At 34.9% G+C, this 18,757-nt stretch overlaps 2 long non-coding RNA genes across 2 annotated transcripts in view; one reads left to right on the top strand and one right to left on the bottom strand.

Moving 5' to 3' along the window:
• The window catches only part of LOC105374655 (uncharacterized), a 213,260-nt gene extending 205,121 nt beyond the window's left edge, over positions 1-8,139 (top strand). The window contains exons 4-5 of the long non-coding RNA NR_188266.1: positions 1,526-1,577; positions 5,726-8,139. This is a non-coding gene — a long non-coding RNA (uncharacterized LOC105374655). The remainder of the gene's footprint in view (positions 1-1,525; positions 1,578-5,725) is intronic.
• Positions 755-14,737, bottom strand: LOC105374656 (uncharacterized). The gene is made up of 3 exons (XR_925793.2): positions 14,602-14,737; positions 14,177-14,453; positions 755-812 (listed from the first exon to the last, which is right to left on the bottom strand). It is a non-coding gene; the product is annotated as an uncharacterized LOC105374656 (long non-coding RNA).
• Positions 14,738-18,757: the final 4,020 nt, after the last annotated feature.

The raw sequence follows: 18,757 nt of genomic DNA, 5'->3' as shown, positions 1-18,757 counted from the left end.
AACAAAAGGCAAAAGAGATTAAAGTAAAAACTTAAATTGAAAGAACGTGGGTAAAGGAATATAATACTTTGAGAATAATGTTCAATATCTTCCAGTGTTGAATTTTATGAGTATTTCATTGCTGCTTTCCTTTTTAAATTTCTGATTTTTATCAAATCTGAGGTATCCAATCTCCTTGAAAAAGCCTGTTATTTAATTTATCTTGTTTAGTAAATTAAACACATACATGCACTTTGAAATTAATTCCATTCAGGTTTATCATAAAGGAGACAGAGATTTCTGGTAATTCATAGAACAAAATAAGAAAGACTCTTCACACCGCTGTATTTCTAAATTTACTAATTAGAGTTGACACAATTATCTGTAGATTTGATCTTTTAAATCATGGTCTACAGAACTCTTTAATCTCACAGGTGCTTAGAGTACTTAAATAAAATAATGTTAAAATTTTGCCTTTGAAATACTTTATCCTATAATTTGAAAACATACTTACTATAAATTGGTTTAGAATAATGATACTTCAACTCTACTAAATTATATTTTTAAAGTATAATTAGTCAAGTTTTATCTCCTCAACAGAAACTTTTCTTTCATTTGTGTTCCCTTCTCATATTTCAAATTACTCTCTTCTCCTAACAAGTACTTCCAAAAGGCAAACAGATCAATTGTCTACCAAAAGGGGGTACATTCATTAGTTACCATGACAATGTTCCAGATAGCATGGACAGGAGACAGAGATTGCTGTTCCAAGTCTCAAAGACGTTAATTTGCATTTCCATCCCCACATCCAGCTTGGACATATTCATCGTTGCCTATAATTCAAGAAAGTATATGTTATTGCAGAACATCGTTAGAACCATACATATCATTATGAAAGATGGATGAAAGACTAGTTTTTACTAATCCTAGTAGGACTTTAGCTCATGATCATCCTTCTTTCCCTATGTTAGTCTTCTCATGCTGCCCTGACAAAATACCACAGACTAATGTCTTAAACAACAAAAATGTATTTTCTCACAGTTCTGGAGGCTAAAAGTCCAGCATCCAGGCATCAACCTGGATGACTTCTGATGGGGACTTCTTTCCTGGCTTACTTTCTTGCTGCATCCTCATGTGGCCTTTTCTCTGGGCATGGAGAAAGTGCTTTTGTGTCCTCTTCTCTTTATAAGGACTCCAGTTCTAGTGGATTCTGGTCCCACCCCTATGACCTGATTTTGCTTTATTTATGTCCTTAAAGACTTTATCTCCAAATATATTTGGTTTTAGAGCTTTGATATAATAATTTGGCGGGGACACAGTTCAGTCCATAACACCACCCGTCTGGCTAAACCCAAATTGCCTGGGCAACGGTTGCCCAACTGTGACTACAGTCTTTGCTTCCCACGACAATCTGCTTCATGTCTATGGTAACCCAAGTTTTTCCACAGCTTCCAAGAATTCAGTGAATGATTCTTAGAACAAAATTTAAAATTGACTGTATTCCTCAGCCTATTTTATAAAACCTTTATATTTCTTCCCTCCACAGAATTCCCACCTTTGAGTTGTTCCTGTGTTGCAATATTATCATAAGGCTCAAGGTAAGGAATTTAGGTTGTTTTCTTTTCTATTCTATACGTATATACATTTAGGGGGTACCAGTGCAGTTTTGTCATATGGATGTATTACATAGTGGTGAAAGTCTGGTTTTCACATTTTCATACAATATATTTTGATTAAGATTACATATGTTTGAAATTATAGTTATAGCTATTCCTTAACTTAAAAATTTGGAAATCCTAATAATGAAGAAATCTATTATATTTCTATGAAAATTATTGTAAAAGGAAATTGGCCAGGCCACATTGCTAATTTATTTGTAATAAGCAACAGGTTTGTTGAAAAAAGCTCTGAAACAAACAAGATGGGATGAACTGTATAATGCACTATCATAGCAAACTCTGGGGTATAAAGACATGATACATTACATGATTCATGAGTTTATTTACATATATGGACAAATTATTGGCTTTAATTAAAAAAGAAAAATAACCAAAAATTTAGAAAAAAATACATATATTTACATAATTCAAAATCTCATTAAGGAATGGTGGAGTGTCCAACAAATTATGGATAATAATCAAAGGTAGAACTATAATAAGTAAGTAAATAAGCAACAGTGAGGCGTGTAAATCAAGAAAAAGCAAGATAAAGTTGACTATTGCCTTGGAGGAATTTGCCAAGGTTGTTCTCTGTAACCACGTCAAAAATGTTAAAGAACCTCAATCAGGGATGTCAGATCAAAGTCTTCATGAAGAGACTCAGCGCACAGTATGGGTGAACTATAAACACTCAAACACCCCCATTTATACCCCCAACACAAACTCGCCGGTAGACACTTAAATAAAAAGAGATTTCATCTGACCTGGTCTTGGTACTAGACAGAGGAGGGGGTCTCCTCTGAGTATGGGTGACCATGAACTACCTTTTATATAGGTTTGGACCCAGATGATTCACTAACCACAGAATTTAAGACAAACAAACAAAAACTAAAAATGCACTTACTGAGATTTGTTTTGTATACTACAGAAGAAAATAGGACTTTTCTTTTTGTCTCCATTTCAAAGAAAATGCCTCATATCTATATTCCCCAAATAATTTTAAACATGAATCTCAAATGAACATACCCAAAACATAAAATTACAAGACACATGAAATAATAAAGCCCATTAACAAAAATCCAAACAAAAGTAAGCAGAACAATTAGAAAAATAAAGACATTGATATTATTAATTATGTAATATAAAATAAATAAATATCTGTAAGAACATTAAGAAAATAAGATGAAACTGAAAGTATAAGTACGGAAGTAGATACTATAAACACTAATAAACATATTTGAATAAATGAAACTTTATAAAAGTATAGAAGGGTAAATTATAAAACCTAAAATTTTTCAATTCATGGATGAGACAAAGTATATTTTAAAAGCTGAAAAGAAAATTACTAAAGAAAAAAAAAAACACCAGTTAGTTATTCAGAAAACATTACTGAGAGTAGAAGGAATGGAAAAAATGGAAGCGAGTTTAAGAGGTTAAACTTAAAAATACCTGAGAATTTTCTAGAGCTAGACAGTTTAGAAACTATATATTTTGAAAGTACAATGAATCCCTAAAGGGACATATAAAAATAACAAAATAAAATAAAGTGACGCCTAGATAAATTTAGCTGACATTTCAAAGAACTAAAAGCGATGTTGAAAACCTAATACTTGTTAGTGGGAAAATACAAATCACAAAGGAATACACATACCACATAGTGCTTTAGTTAATGACAGGCTTCATATATGACAGTGTTCCCACATTATAGTATCTTATTTTTACTGTATCTTTTTTATATGTTTAAATGTTTAGATACATAAATACCATTATGTTACAACTGCCTACACTATTCAGTACAGTAACATATTATACAGGTCTGTAGTGTAGGGGCAATAGATTACATCACATAGCCTGGGTTTGTAGTAGGCTATACTATCCAGGTTTGTGTAAGTACACTCTATAATGTATAATATTGCACAAAATTTCCTTCAGTCTATGGGTATGAGGTGTATATGAAGCATGCATGAATTTTGTTTCATCTTTAGTTCCATTTCCAACATATCTCATTATGCATGTTGCAAGTATTCCAAAAATAAAAAAAATCTGAAATCAGAAACACTTTTGATCTATGCATTTCAGATAAGCAGTAATTAACCAGTACATAAATATAAATATGTTTAACTAGTCGGTGGAAATTTCTTTTAAAGAACTATTTAATAAGAAAAGGAAAGGTAATAAAGTTTCTATTTGATGACATTAAAGACAAAAACTATTCTTGATCCAAGTCAGAATATGAATGATTATTTTGCATTGTTCCTCTCCATTGGAACCAATACCTTAGAGCAAAAGTAGAGAGATACTATTGATAACACCACTAGTCTAAAGACGCAATTTAAATAAACTATTGTAAGTAGAAACGCATTGTAACATTTGAAATTAAAAATATCTTCTCATTAAATGTAGTTTGGGCTTAGGTTTTGAATATTACCGAAAGTACTAATTTAGCTTTAAAAATATACCATTGGAAGACAAATATATTAACAAAATAAAATGTGACCAATTAACAAAAGAGTTAAATCAATTTTGAATCTACGTTAGCTTGGAAAACTTGTTGAACTTTTTTTGTTAGTATACTTTCAAGTCAGCATGTTTTGACTGTAGAATGCAATTAGTCAATTATCTGTGATGTAGTCATGAAAACAACTTTCAAATCTCAGCTTCTCAAGAAGGGAGGGATTTGTATCCAGCTCAGATTTTGTGTAGCTTTATCTGATAATGTTGTGTTGAGAATTATAACAGCCAAATTTTCATTGGTGATATCAACTTATCACCTAGATGGTGATGTTGTTGTCTGGCTAGTGTACTTAAGTAACTTTCAGTAGTGGATTGTTTACATCTAAAGTTAATACCTGGCTCTTACATTAAACCAGAAAAGGCAAAGTTTTTATTTTCAGGGTTTTTGATCTGGAAGCATCTCCTTGATGTAGTTGTGACACATTCTAAAAATAAAAAGGCTTAGGTAACTGTGCAAACAGAAAATGTAAACCTAATCTTGTGTATGGTATGTATAAAATTTACTTATTTTTATGACTGCAACCATACCTAAAAATTAAGCTGGGAGTTTAAATAGTGAAACTTCTAGCTGCTGTGTAAATAAATGAGACAACTTGTATTTTAAATAACCAATAAAGTTACTCATCAGCTATGTATAATAGGAAATAAATTTATAATATCATCTACATTAAAATTAATATCCATAAAATAACAATATATCTATGACTTTTGGTGTATTTATTTCAAGAGCCTGAACATAGAATATAATGTTTCTTTTTTAAGGAAGCAGTGAGGATTCTGGTAATAAAGTGACATGTATTACTTTTTTCCTCCAAATTGTATTTGTTTGACACTAGTAGCATTAATAACAGCTTTGCAGGTAATTAATATTTTATAAAACTTGACAGTGTTGTCTGTTTTGTTCTGTTTTAAGTATTCATGACTGATATTAGTTTATTTTAACCATTTATAAATGTCATTAGAATAACCAACGATATTGTTACTAATTAAAATCTTAGAACAGTGGGTAAGGTGTTCAAGAGTAAGGAAACAGCCTGGTTTTACTGAGATTTTAGATGATCTCATATGTGAAAACTTTATTGCTTCTAATATTTAAAATTTTTTAAATAACATTACATGTTGGTGGGTTCAAATTCTCAAAGCTTTGAACTTCTTTGAGATAGGTTGTTTTTATGTTATGGAATTCCTTAGGGCATGCCAATTGAATTAGGAAAATGTCCCATAACATCTGAGGACTTATCCTTGCTGTTCCTAGCCTGAGACTGTTCCACAAGGGTAAGGCAGTAATCTTAGCAGCCAATCTTCTAGAAAGGGCTGGAACTTGACTAAGTGCACGTATGGAAATCTAGCAGACTGGCTTTTAGTCTAGCATCCTAACACTGCTTAAAATCAAGCTCTCTCTTCCTGTTATGTAGTGGGCACATGGTGACTAACAGTCTTGAGAGCCTTTTCCACACACAAGATTGGCCATGTACATGGTGGCTGCTTGAAGCAGAACAAGAAGCTCTTCATCAGGAGGGTTTCCCAACTGCCTGCAAACCTTGTCAGGTATTAATTAATGTCTTGTCTTTCAGCTACCAGAGACACCCACTGTCACACTGGAGCCTGCTTCTGACCAAAACATCCTCTGTCAAGCTATAGACTGCTTCTGACCTCAGGTTTGCCATTCTGAGCACATAACAAAAATAAAACAAGAAAAAGCATAAGGTATGAAATGTTATTCAAAAAAAGAATGATGAAACAATGAACTAAAGCCTGGGCAGTAAATAATTCTGTCTTCAAGATCCCACATGGAAAATTTTTTAGAAAGACTTCCTACCTTTCCTACTGTTTGTAATGTGCATCTGGAATACTAGAGAAAGGGTCCCTAAGGTTTGCTGGAAAAATACCTTAGCTTCTGAGTCTTAGCTTTATTACTAATAAACACTGGATTTCTGGTAGTAGAGAAGGAAATTTAGTATTTCATGATGGTGAAAGATGAAAAGAGAGGCTTTATGGCTGTATGATTTGGGTAGAGCTTTTCAGTTAATTAACGAAGAAATATCTGAATTGAGTCAATGAGGTACAGAGTTTATTTCATACAGATACTTTTAAACTTCATAATGCCATGACATACCTGATTTGTTACTAATGTCCACAACTTATCCACGTGTTTATGGCAAAAAAAAAGTGCACGAAGAAGAAAATTATAGTTTCAAAAATTTCTAGAATTTGGTTTCTGGAAGAAAATACAAGTGTCTGTGTGTTTGTGTACATATATTCTAGATAGATGAGCCAGTAAGATAGAGTGAGCATTATTTTTTCTTATCCAAAGAAAAATAAAAGCAATGCACAGGTAGAAGACCTGGTAAATTTTGTATCATCATAACCACCTAAAAGTTTCGTGTGGGAAGGTAAGTCATAACTCCAAATATTTTTTTCTACTTAAAAATTAAAATTTGTACAAGAATATTTGATCCAGAAGAAAGAAATATATACATAAGGAATTACTAGAATTTGAATGCAGAGCATTTCAAACTATCTTTAATCCAATGATATAGTTCTTATAAATTAAAAGTCAACATGGCAAATTACAAATGTAATATTTAAGTGTGTCCTCAAGAAACTTAAATATAAATATTGCAATAATTTCTGTTAAATTTAGTTTTAATTCTCTTTAGTAATGTAAAATTCATACCTTTATTTTCAAATATAACCATTGAGATAAGATCCATTTGTCCTGGTGGAAAGTAGAAACAAAAGTGCTTTGCCTGGCAGCAAAAGATACAAAACTTTATCTGCCAAAACATTCTGAGCTAATGCAGAACAAAGGTTTGCTGCTGGGGAGTAGGGGTTGCTGAGAAAGCCTAGTTTTAAATCCCAGGTGCAGAGTTTTAGTGGTCCAAACAGTAGAATTGGATCCCCACCACCACCACTCAGCAGCCTAACCCAGAGAAAGAAGCAAGAGAAGCTTGCTGCTGGGGAAGGATCAAGAGTAAAGATAAGATCCCTACTTTTGCACCAAGTGTCCAGGGACTGAACAAAATTAGGGACAAAGCAGGAACTCAGAAGAAAGATCTAAGCATCACTCTAAGCCCAAGGCAAGAGCAGCCCATCTTTAATTAAAACCACACTGGGGGCTGGGCGCAGTGGCTCATGCCTGTAATCCCAGCACTTTGGGAGGCCGAGGCAGGTGGATCACAAGGTCAGGAGATGGAGACCATCCTGGCTAACACGGTGAAACCCTGTCTCTAATAAAAAATACAAAAAAAATTAGCCAGGCGTGGTGGTGGGCACCTGTAGTCCCAGCTACTCAGGAGGCTGATGCAGGAGAATGGTGTGAACCCGGGAGGCGGAGCTTTGCAGTGAGCCAAGATCACACCACTGCACTCCAGCCTGGGTGACAGAGCGAGACTCGGTCACAAAGAAAAACAAAACAAAACAAAAAACAAAAACAAAAAAAGAAAACACTGGGAATTTGATGTCTGTGGAGCACTGAAAATGATAAAAACAAAACACAAACCTAGTTCAACTCATGACAAGACAGAATTCCTTACGCTGACTGCTTGACAGATGAAAATGTGTGCCCATTTCTCTGTGTAATTTTCATTTACCTTGGTTCCTAGCATTCTTCTACAAATAGTTTCTGGCTTTCAACCAAACATGAGATACACAAAGAGCCAAGAAGAAAACAACCTGTTTTCAATAGATAAAGCAAACAACATAACTAGACCTAAAGATGTGTCTGTGAGTCGGGACTAGGATTAATACATACATTTAATACATGTAATATTTATTTATTTCATTGTATGCAATTTTTACATAAAAACTATAGTCTATAGTCGTGTTGCAGATTCAAGTTAATAATATGCAAAGTATTCAAGGGGAAATGTATTGATATCTTCAATATACATTGAAATTTATTCAAAAAGGAAATGTGTTAATGGACGAAAGATCAATAAATTAAAAGTGTCTGACAAAACAATATAATAAAATCTTAATTATAGAACCCTGAGGGTATGTAAATTCATTCTTTTTTTAAAATTTGAAAATGTTTACAATATAATATTGGAAAATATAAATTAGATGGCATATATTTCAGAAAATCCGTATTGTGCATTGTGCAGAAATATACTCCAGAATAATTAAAGGGTTCAATTTAGGAGAATAAACTTAAAAGTGTTAGAAAAAAATAGAAAACGGTCCTAGTGATTTCAGTATCAGAAAGGATTTAGTAAACAAGACAAAACCTGGACTCAAAATTTCCAAAGATAAGATCTCAATGTTATAAAAATGTGTAAACCCTCCCATAATATATACTGACATAAAATGCCAAATTGCAGTGCACTGCATTGTCACAAAAAAGTGAAAAATATGAATAATGAAATTAGCAAATATTAAATTTCTTAGCACTCTGTAATTTCTAATTACAATAAATTATTACTTTTATAATTTAAAAACTTCATTACAAAAAGATGAAACTGTCCAGAGTAGTTTTCTATCATTAAAGGTATTTAATTTCTTATAAAATATTGATCCAGAAGGTGACTGCTTATCAAAATCTATACTTGTCCATGACATATATAAAGAAATACTGTCAGGGATATTAATGATACTTGATGCCATCCTGAGAGCTTTAAAAGCAGGCACTGCTATGAATCTTTCCTATGTATACAAATTTTTAATCTTATCTTTTTAAAAACTCTTCACTGCTGGTCACAATATAGCTGCATCTTCGTAGTTGAACCATTATTATAAAAGTGCAAAATGATAAATATCAATTTTTGATACATTTTTGACCATGTAGGGAAAGTTTCTAGAACCACTTATTTCATTCTAAAAAAGTGAGATGATACAGGCAAATATATCCCCTTGTTCAGCCTAATAATAAACATCTCCATTTAGACTGAAATAAATGTAGTTACATAAATTATTATTGGTTTTATGCATCAAAGAAATTGCTGATGTAGACTATTATTTTAATAGAAATAGTTTTCAGGCCACAATTAATTTCAATTATGATTATCTGTAGCAGCAACATTGTGATATAGATTTAAAGACAATCCACGCCAAAACTGCTGAAGCTATTCCTGGAATAAACACAGCAATGTAAATTATTTTGAGAGAGCCCTATTCCACTTAGCAATCAAAGAAAGATGTACAATGGCCACCGTGTATCTGAAATCCTATTTTATATATTCACATTGGTCCATAAAATGATTAGAAAAAATACTAAGTATATGCAGAATGTACCTATGAGATTGGAGATGGTAGAAGCCTTATCTGAAAAAGTTCAGATAACCAGCAGAAATGATCAAATTATATAGAATAAACTAGGTCTACCATTTTGTGGTTTTTAAAAATTATTCTAGTATAGGAAGAGCTAGCATAGCCAACTTTTTAAAATAGTTAATAATTCCATAAAAAGCCAGCCCACTGTGTTTAGATTTAGACAATTTTAAGAGCATGCCTTTGGTATAGTCTTTGATCTGGTCAAACATTATAGTTCCCTAAAGATCCCAGTACTTCTAGTGCACTTAATTTAATGAAGTTATATAAAAATTACTCTTACCTTGTCCTTGATTCAAGAAAATCTCTGAATGATACTTAATTCACTTTTACTATAGACTTGAAAAGAGATCAAACATTACCAAAAGAAACAAACCACAAACCAACAATATGAGCAACAGAAGATAAGAATCAATGGGACAAAAAGGGGGTAAAAAGTCAAGTTATGAGTGTTATTTATAGGTGAAATAATTGTGTTTCACTAAGGAAACACAACATACTCCAAAGGTTACTTCTGCTAATCACAGACAAAATGAATAATGCTTCCTGATTCAGTCTCTTCTCTTCTCATTTGTATTTTTAAAATATTTTCTTTTAGTGACTTCCTTAACCTAATGAGAATAAAATTGACTCTATAAAAACCATCAGTCCAGGCACAGTGGGTACACCTGTAAGTCTCAGTTATTCTGGAGGCTAAGATGGGAGAATCACTTGAGCTCAGGAGTCTGATGCTGCAGTGAGCTCTGACTGTGCCACTGCTCTCCAGCCTGGGCAACAAAGCTAGACACTGTCTCCAAATAGTAATAATAATAGTAATAATAATAGTTAGTTAAAGAAAAAACAATAGCCTGTACTATTAGGGATACTGTGTATTCAAAAACATTCTTTTTTTTTTTTTTTTTTTTTAAGTAACAAGGAAATAAAATCCTCTGTGATTTTGGCCTGAGCCTCTGTGTCCACAAGTGTCTGCACCTCAGTATTTAGTGCAGCATCCACCAGGAAGATACAGATTTTGCTTCTGGCATTTCAGGCAACAGAAAAAAGTACAAAATCCAATAGAAGGCTTTCTACAGTGTAATCAGTCTTCATTCTCTCTTCACATGCCATTGTTAATTAAATACGCAATTTTTCTTTCCCCTTTTCTCCCATACCTCAGGTTTTTCCCTGAGAAGTTCAAATAAACATTATGACTGAAAATATTCATTATTTATTCTAGATTCCTTGGAGAAAGTTGGCAGTCAAGCAAAGAGGAAATCTTGTTACTCATCACAGAAAAGTGGGGAGTGGGCGAATGATTAATCTAAATGTTTTAATGCACATATTTGAATTTTGAAAGATCAAGTTTTCCATATTTTAACTAAAGAATAGTTTATTACAATGGGATGGGACAAAGACATGGGAATGGCAAAGGGATTCTGATTAATTGTCTCAGGGTACTTATCAGGAAGTTGACACTTGAACAAAGACTAGTAGTAGGTAACAACGTTATTCTTATGTTACATCCAGAGGAGAAACTTTTCAGGGAGAGCAAACGACCAGTGCCTACTTTTAAAGCGTGAACTTTTTTTTTTCCAAGAACAAAGAGGAAACCAGTGTAGCTTCAGCCAACTTAGAACAAAGAAAGGTTAGTATAAAATGAGTAAAAGAAAACGGCAGGAGAGTGCTGGAGGAAAAGAGATGATGTGGGTTTCACAGCCACACCATTGCAAACACTTGGGCTTTTATTATGGTGTGATGGAGAACCATTGCAGGGCTTTAAGTAGAAGTTAGGCATGATCTAATTTGTGTCCTAAAAGGATCACTCCACTTTCTATGCTACGAACACGATACAGTGAGCAAGCGTAGAACCAGAGAGCACAGTTAAAGAGCTGTGTAAGAATTGGGGCCAGTGAGGTACATTCCCAGTGGTAGAAATGGTGGTGATGGGAAATGGCTGGAATTTGTATTGAGTTTCGAAATGAAAGACAAGTTTTGGTGCCCAATAGAATATGATCAGTAAGAGGAGACCCAGAGGCTTAAAATTGACTCCACAGAGATTTTTAGTCTCAGCAATAGGAAAAGAGTTTTTATCAGCTGAGATGACGAAGAAACTGCCACTGGAGCAGTTTTGGAGTCAGGGAGGTCAGAATATCAGTTTTAGAAGGGCTAAGTTTGATTGGCAAATTAGAAACATAAAAAGAGATATTTAACAGGCATTTGTATATATTAGTCTGGAGTTCTTGCAGAGGTCTGGCAGAAGATAAAAGTTGAGAATTCTTGGGGTTTTATGAGATCACCAAGAAATATGCATAAAGAAAAGACTAAAAGAGAATATGTAAAACATAAGTGCTCAGGGGGAAAAGAATATTCCAGAAACAGAGACTGAGAAGGAGTAACAGCAGAACGTTGAAGGGAAGCCAAGAGTATGTGGTGTTTTGGAAGCTCAATAAGGAACGATGTCAAGAAGGAGAGATACCTCTGCCAAAACTGATGGTAGGTCCAGAAAGATGACTGCCTAAAATTGACCACTAAATTTACACCATATGAGAGTCAATAGTGACCATAAGAAAAACAGCTTGTTGTCATTGAGGTTTTTTGTTGTTGAGAAGCAGAGGATGACAAGGAGAGGGCAAAAGCCAAATAAAAGTAAGTTTAAGAAAGAATGAGAAAAGGAGAATGCAAACACTAAGAATTTGGGACACTCTTGAAAAGTTTTACTAAAAAGGAAACTGGAGAAATGGGATACTCATTGGGAAGAAGAATTACGTGAATGTCTTTTTAAAACCTGGAGAATAACATCATATCTACATACAATCGGAAAAGATGTGGGAGAGAAAACAAACTGGCAATGTAGGAGATAGGAAATGTGCTAGAACAATGTTCCTAACTAAAGTCTGCTTTTAAAAAATCTACGAAATTGGAGAGATTGGCTTAAGATGGAAGTTTGGAGAGTTCTAATAGAAATGTTGCCTAATAGAATTATAATATGAACAGCGTAGGTCATTTTAAATTTTCTAACAGCTGCACTAAAAAAAAAAAAAAGGTAAAAGAAGCATGTGGAATTCACTCTAATATGTGATTTAACCCAATATATCCAAAATGTTATTCTTTTGTTTCTTCTGTGCCAGTGAGTTTTCTATTTGTCCGTGTTTTATGAAGATAGATATTGTCCTTTTGCTGCCAGATGTAGGACTCCCTTAAGCATTTCTTGTAGGGCTGATCTAGTGGTGATGAATTACCTTGGTTTCTATTTGTGTGGGAAAGATTTTATTTCTGCTTCATTTTTGAAGGATAGCTTCTTAATATAACAAATTGAATGAGATATTTTACATTTAATTTTTATACTCTCTGTGAATCTAATGTGAGTTTTACCTGACAGCACGTCTCACTTTGAACTAGCCTCATTCACTTCCTATGCTCCACAGCCGCATGTGGACAGCAGCTATTGTATTGGGAAGCATAGGTCTATAAGAAATTTTAGGGAGGCAGGTAGAATACATAGATGCAAGTGCTGGGAAATGTGGAGTAGTCAAGAGTTGTGATGATGAGAGTTTATGAAATCTATTTTCTAAGAACTTCATTTTACATGGAGAAGAGGAAATGACAGAAAGTTAAATGCAAAGATGTTGGGGAAAGATGCTGAAGGTTTATGAAAAAGACGAAGTATGAAATTTCCAAAGAATATGGGAATGTGGAAAAAAAAGAGGCACATTTGCTAAGTAGAATGAAGGGTACTCTTGAGGTTAGTGATTGATATGGTTTGGCTGTGTCCCCACCTAAATTTCATCTTGAATTGTAGCTCGCATGATTCCCAAGTGTTGTGGGAGGGACCCAGTGGGAGATAATTGAATTATGGGTTCCCCCCATACTGTTTTCATAGTAGTGAGTAAGTCTCACGAGATCTGATGGTTTTATAAAGAGTTTCCCTTTTCTCTTGGCTCTCATTCTCTCTTACCTGCCCCTATGTAGACATGCCTTTTGGCCTCCACTATGATTGTGAGGCTTCCCAGTCACATGGAACTGTGAGTCCATTAAACCTCTTTTTCTTTATAAATTACTTAGTCTCAGGTATGTCTTTATCAGCAGTGTGAAAACAAACTAATACAATGACCATGAATTTAAAGAGAGTCCAGGCTTAAAACTTAAGCTCATTTCTGTATCAGTTGCAATATATTCCTTCTACCCTTCTCCCTTTCTTGTTTATCCTTGTTTTATTTGAATAGACAAGCCAGTTTGTTTTGCCTATGAAATGATTTAGGAAAAATAGAATTGTTGATTCTATAAGGTATGGATGAATATGAATGAAGAGCCATACAAGGATATTGCTCTAAGAATAAAGTTTCTAATGTGTTTTAATAATACTTGTAAATATTTAAAACAAGACAAACGAAAAACCTGGTTTTATATAGATTGAATAGCTTTTTAAATTGCTATATGCACCCACTAGAGTGCATTTGTTGCTTACTATTACAATGCTGAGGCAGTAATTAAACTGGATTTTTATTGAGCTTAAACCATTCTTTTCTACATAGTTAACTATAGCTTTATAAATTGTTATAATTTTATTATAAGCCACCTCTCCACTGGTAATAATAAGCTATACACACAGGTACTTATTATTGATAAATAAATCAGAATGAGCTGTTTTATTGTTTAAATGACAAAATAGAAAAATTATATATTTTAGCATTAATACAATCATTAATTTGTTCATTTGCTTCTCTAATTTTATGGTAAGTATTGGGTCACATACAGAAATATTCACAGATTATACTAACATGCAGTGTAGATAAATATATACTATGCAGGTAGCTTTCCTTCTTTATCTTTGCATTTTCCTTATAAATTCATCCATTTGTAATTGCATGTCAATTCTCATAGAAATCCAAACTTGCTCAATTCAGGAAACTGCAAAAGAAGTTCCAAGGATACTTTGGGATTTATAAGGTCCTCAATACACCGGAAAGGTTTTCAGACAAGCCTGTAGGATAGGGTCAGCCACATCTCTTAGAGCAGTTAACCTCTTCTCCTCCAGGACGGTCAACTGTGGAGACCCTGGGGTAAGAAGGAGCAGTTATTTACTCTTAGCAGACAGGGTGTCCTGGTATGCCCACACCTGTGAGGTTTTATTTTCTGAAATTGTGCAATACAAATGGCCGGGGATTCTGACCTAACATCACTCTTGTGTGTCTGGATAGTTTACCTCTCTCTTCTCCTGCCCTCAGCGCATTTCCAGGCACTTCCAGAAACAAAAGACAGTCTGTTGTGAGAACTCTCTTGGGAATTTAGGCTGCCTGTGTCGTGTATTACCCAATAATCCTTACTGCAGCTGTTGCTCCCACTGCCAAAGCTGTTTCTAATATAAGGCTCTCTACTTTCTTCCTCTGTTTATTTCCTTTTGTAAATCAATGTTCATTTATGACCAATTAACCACTCCTAATCTTTCTGTTGTTGTTGTTGTTGAGACGGAGTCTCGCTGTGTCACCCTGCCTGGAGTGCAGTGGCGCGATCTCGGCTCACTGCAAGCTCCGCCTCCCGGGTTCAAGCCATTCTCCTGCCTCAGCCTCCCGAGTAGCTGGGACTACAGGCGCCCGCCACCACGCCCGGCTAATTTTTTGTATTTTTAATAGAGACGGAGTTTCACCATGTTAGCCAGGATGGTCTCTATCTCCTGACCTCGTGATCCGCCTGCCTCAGCCGCCCAAAAAGTGCTGGGATTACAGGCGTGAGACACAGCGCCTGGTCCACAGTCCTAATCTTTAACAGTAGAAAAACAAGAGGTCCAATGACAAACTTTAACTTAAAATCTTCACAAATGTTTTCCTAGTCACAGACATAAAATAGAAATGTATTTTAATTTTACACCTAATAGGGTTGTCGCCCAATTTAACGTAATCTTACACAAAGTAATTTTGTGAAATCACAAGATGGATGAGAAAACAGTATATTTTCTCTCTCACATACATTATCTCTGAAATATGTAAATATAATGCCCCATTCTGTATGACAAGGAGAACGCGGTCTCTGCTCACATCTATAATGAAATGAAAAAATAGCATGGCTTGGGTAAGCAAACAATGTAGAGGACAGTAAAGGTAAAATGTAGAGCCGTGTGATGCATAGCTATGTTTCAGTCAACAACAGACTGCATATAAAATGGGAGTGGTCCCGTAAATTCTAAGGAAGCTGAAAACTTCCTATCGCCTAGTGACATCATAATGTTGTAGCATTCATTACTCATGGGCTTGTGGTAATGCTGATGTAAACAAACCTACTGCACTTCCATTCATATAAAAGTGTAGCACATACAATTAGGCACAGTAAATAATACTTGAAAATGATAATAAATGACAATGTTGCTGGTTTATGTATTTACTTTGTTATACTTTTTATCAGTATTTTAGAGTGTGTTCCTTCTACTTAACAACAACGACAAAAAAAGACAGGGCGTGGTGGCTCATGCATGTAATCCTAGCACTTTGGGAGGCTGAGACGGGCAAATTGCCTGAGCTCAGGAGTTCGAGACCAGCCTGGGCAACACAGTGAAATCCCGTCTCTACTAAAATACAAAAGAAATTAGCCAGGCGGGGCGGTGTGCACCTGTAGTCCCAGCTACTTGGGAGGCTGAGGCAGGAGAATTGCTTGAACCGGGGAGGCAGAGGTTACAATGAGCTGAGATCACGCCACTGCACTCCAGCCTGGGCAACAGAACAAGACTCCGTCTCTACAAAAAAAGAAGAAAAAAAGTTAACTGTAAAACAACCTCAGGCAGGTCCTTCAGGAGGTATTCCAGGGGAAAGCATTGTTGTCATAGCAGATGGCAGCTCCATGCGTGTTATTGACCTAGAAGACCTTCCAGCAGGACAAGATGTACAAATGGAAGACAGTGATACAGATTCTCCTGACCCTATGTAGGTCTAGGCAAATCTGTTTATGTCTTAGTTTTTAAAAAAAACAAACAGACAGACAAAAAAAGCTCAAAATTATAAAAATAAAGATAAAAAATTTTAAAAATGGAAAAAAGTCTTATAAAATCAGAATATAAAGAAAGAAATATTCTTGTATGACTGCCCAATGTGTGTGTGTTTTAAGCTAAATTTTCTTACAAAAAGCCCAAAAGTTAAAAATTTTAAAAGTTCATAGAATAAAGATGTTACAATAAGCTAGGGTAAATATATTATTGAAGAAAGAAAAGAAATTTTAATAAATTTAGTGTAGCCTGAATATTCAGTGTTTATAAAATCGACAATAGTGTGTGGTGACGTCCTAGGTCTTCTCATTCACTCACTTCTCTCTCACTGACTCACACAGAGCAATCTCCAGTCGTGCAAGCTCCATTCATGGTAAATGCCTTATATAGGTATACCATTCTTTATCTTTTATACTATAATTTTACTGTACCTTTTCTACACTTAGATATGTTTAAATACACAATTATTTATCACTGTGTTACAGTTGCCTACAGTATTTAGTACAGTTACATGCTGTACCAGTTTGTGGCATAGGAGTAATAGGCTACAACATATAGTTTAGGTGTGCAGTAGGTCATACGATTTAGGTTTGTGTAAGTACACTTTATAATGTTCACATAACAAAATTGCCTAGTGATGCATTTCTATGCATGTGCGTAGAACTTGTCATAGCTGTGTGACTAATTGCCTGCCAGTTCTCTTAGGTTTATGCACAATTCCAGGCACACTGCTATACCACAACTTACTTCCTAACAAGGAATGTCTTCTCAAAATTGCAGACTATTTTAATTTCAGCTAAACTTCCCAAAGAGAAGAAGAAGAGAAGGTGGATAGAACATACACATATCCTTGTACACATGCATGAACACACACATATGAACACACATGTAAACACACACACACACCTATTTAAAAGTATTGGTAAGGCTGCAAGTCACAAAAGTTTTGAAAGGCCAAAGTCTGAGAGAGGAGAGGCATACAGGGAGACGAGCTCAGTATTTAATATCATTTTTCACCTGAGGCTTTTGGCTGGCTCCAAGGAATAAAGGGACAAATTTGGAATTCAGGAGCCGTACAAACTCCAGGGTATTATTTAGGAATAACAAGGGATATATACTAGAAGTAAAGGGGACCTAAACATAAATTAGCCCCCACAGATCTGCTCAATCTTTGCTTGGATTAGGGGGATCTGTCACTACATAATAGCCAACCCAATGCAAAAATAAATGATCTCTGAAAAATAGAAACATCCTACAGAGCATCAAATCACAATGCCCAAAACACAGGGGAAAAAATAGCAGGCATCAAAAAAAAAGTAGATGGTCTGAGAAATGAGACGGGAGAAGAAACACTGAAAACAGACTAACAGGCAGGTCAGACACTGAAGGACTTTAACAGCAATTAATACTTTCAAGAAATGAAATGACAAGAATAATTTAAATGGAAGATGTGATGCCATAGGGAATAAAATGGAAATTCTGGGAATGATTGCTGTAATGACAAAAATTAGGAACTCAAGAAATAGGTAAGTTTAAAAGTAGAGAAGAACAACTAAAGAGAACTAGTAAACTAGAAGAAAGGTCAGAAGAAAACTTTTATACAATCTCTTAAAGAGTGAAAATGGGCGGGCGCGGTGGCTCACGCCTGTAATCCCTGCACTTTGGGAGGCCGAGGCGGGCGGATCATGAGGTCAGGAGATCGAGACCATCCTGGCTAACACGGTGAAACCCCATCTCTACTAAAAATACAAAAAAAATTAGCTGGGCGTGGTGGTGGGCGCCTGTAGTCCCAGGTACTCGGGAGGCTGAGGCAGGAGAATGGCGTGAACCCGGGAGGCGGAGCTTGTGGTGAGCCGAGATCGCGCCACTGAACTCCAGCCTGGGCGATAGAGCGAGACTCTGTCTCAAAAATAAAAATAAAATAAAATAAAAAAAAGAGTAAAAATGATGAGTTTACATAAGAATACAACAGACACACAGAACTGAATGAAAGGGTCTGGTCGTTCAATGTCAATCAAAACAAAGATCCAATTCCAACATATTCAAACGTCCTAATGCCTCGTAGGTTTCTCACCCTTGTTTTTATGGTAAAACAATAGAAAAAAATTAAATTATAGCCTTAGTCTTCAGAATGTCATTGCATTTTATTATCCTAATAAGTCTCCTCAAAATCGATATTTCACTTCATTAGTCCTTTGGAGGAAAATTATGATCATCATTTGAATAGATGTTTTAATTGCCACATACACGCACACACACACACATAATCTGATAGAATTAAAACTTGTCTCAGTTCCCAATGAGTATACCTAGAAGATAATGCCAGCTCTTGCTCAGATAAGTGATCAGAAGAAAAGAATCCACTCTCAAACATTTAATCATGTAATGG

The sequence above is a fragment of the Homo sapiens genome, chromosome 5 (genome assembly GCF_000001405.40).
Source record: "Homo sapiens chromosome 5, GRCh38.p14 Primary Assembly".
NCBI lineage: Eukaryota > Metazoa > Chordata > Mammalia > Primates > Hominidae > Homo > Homo sapiens.
This window is presented reverse-complemented; position numbering and strand designations above follow the sequence as displayed.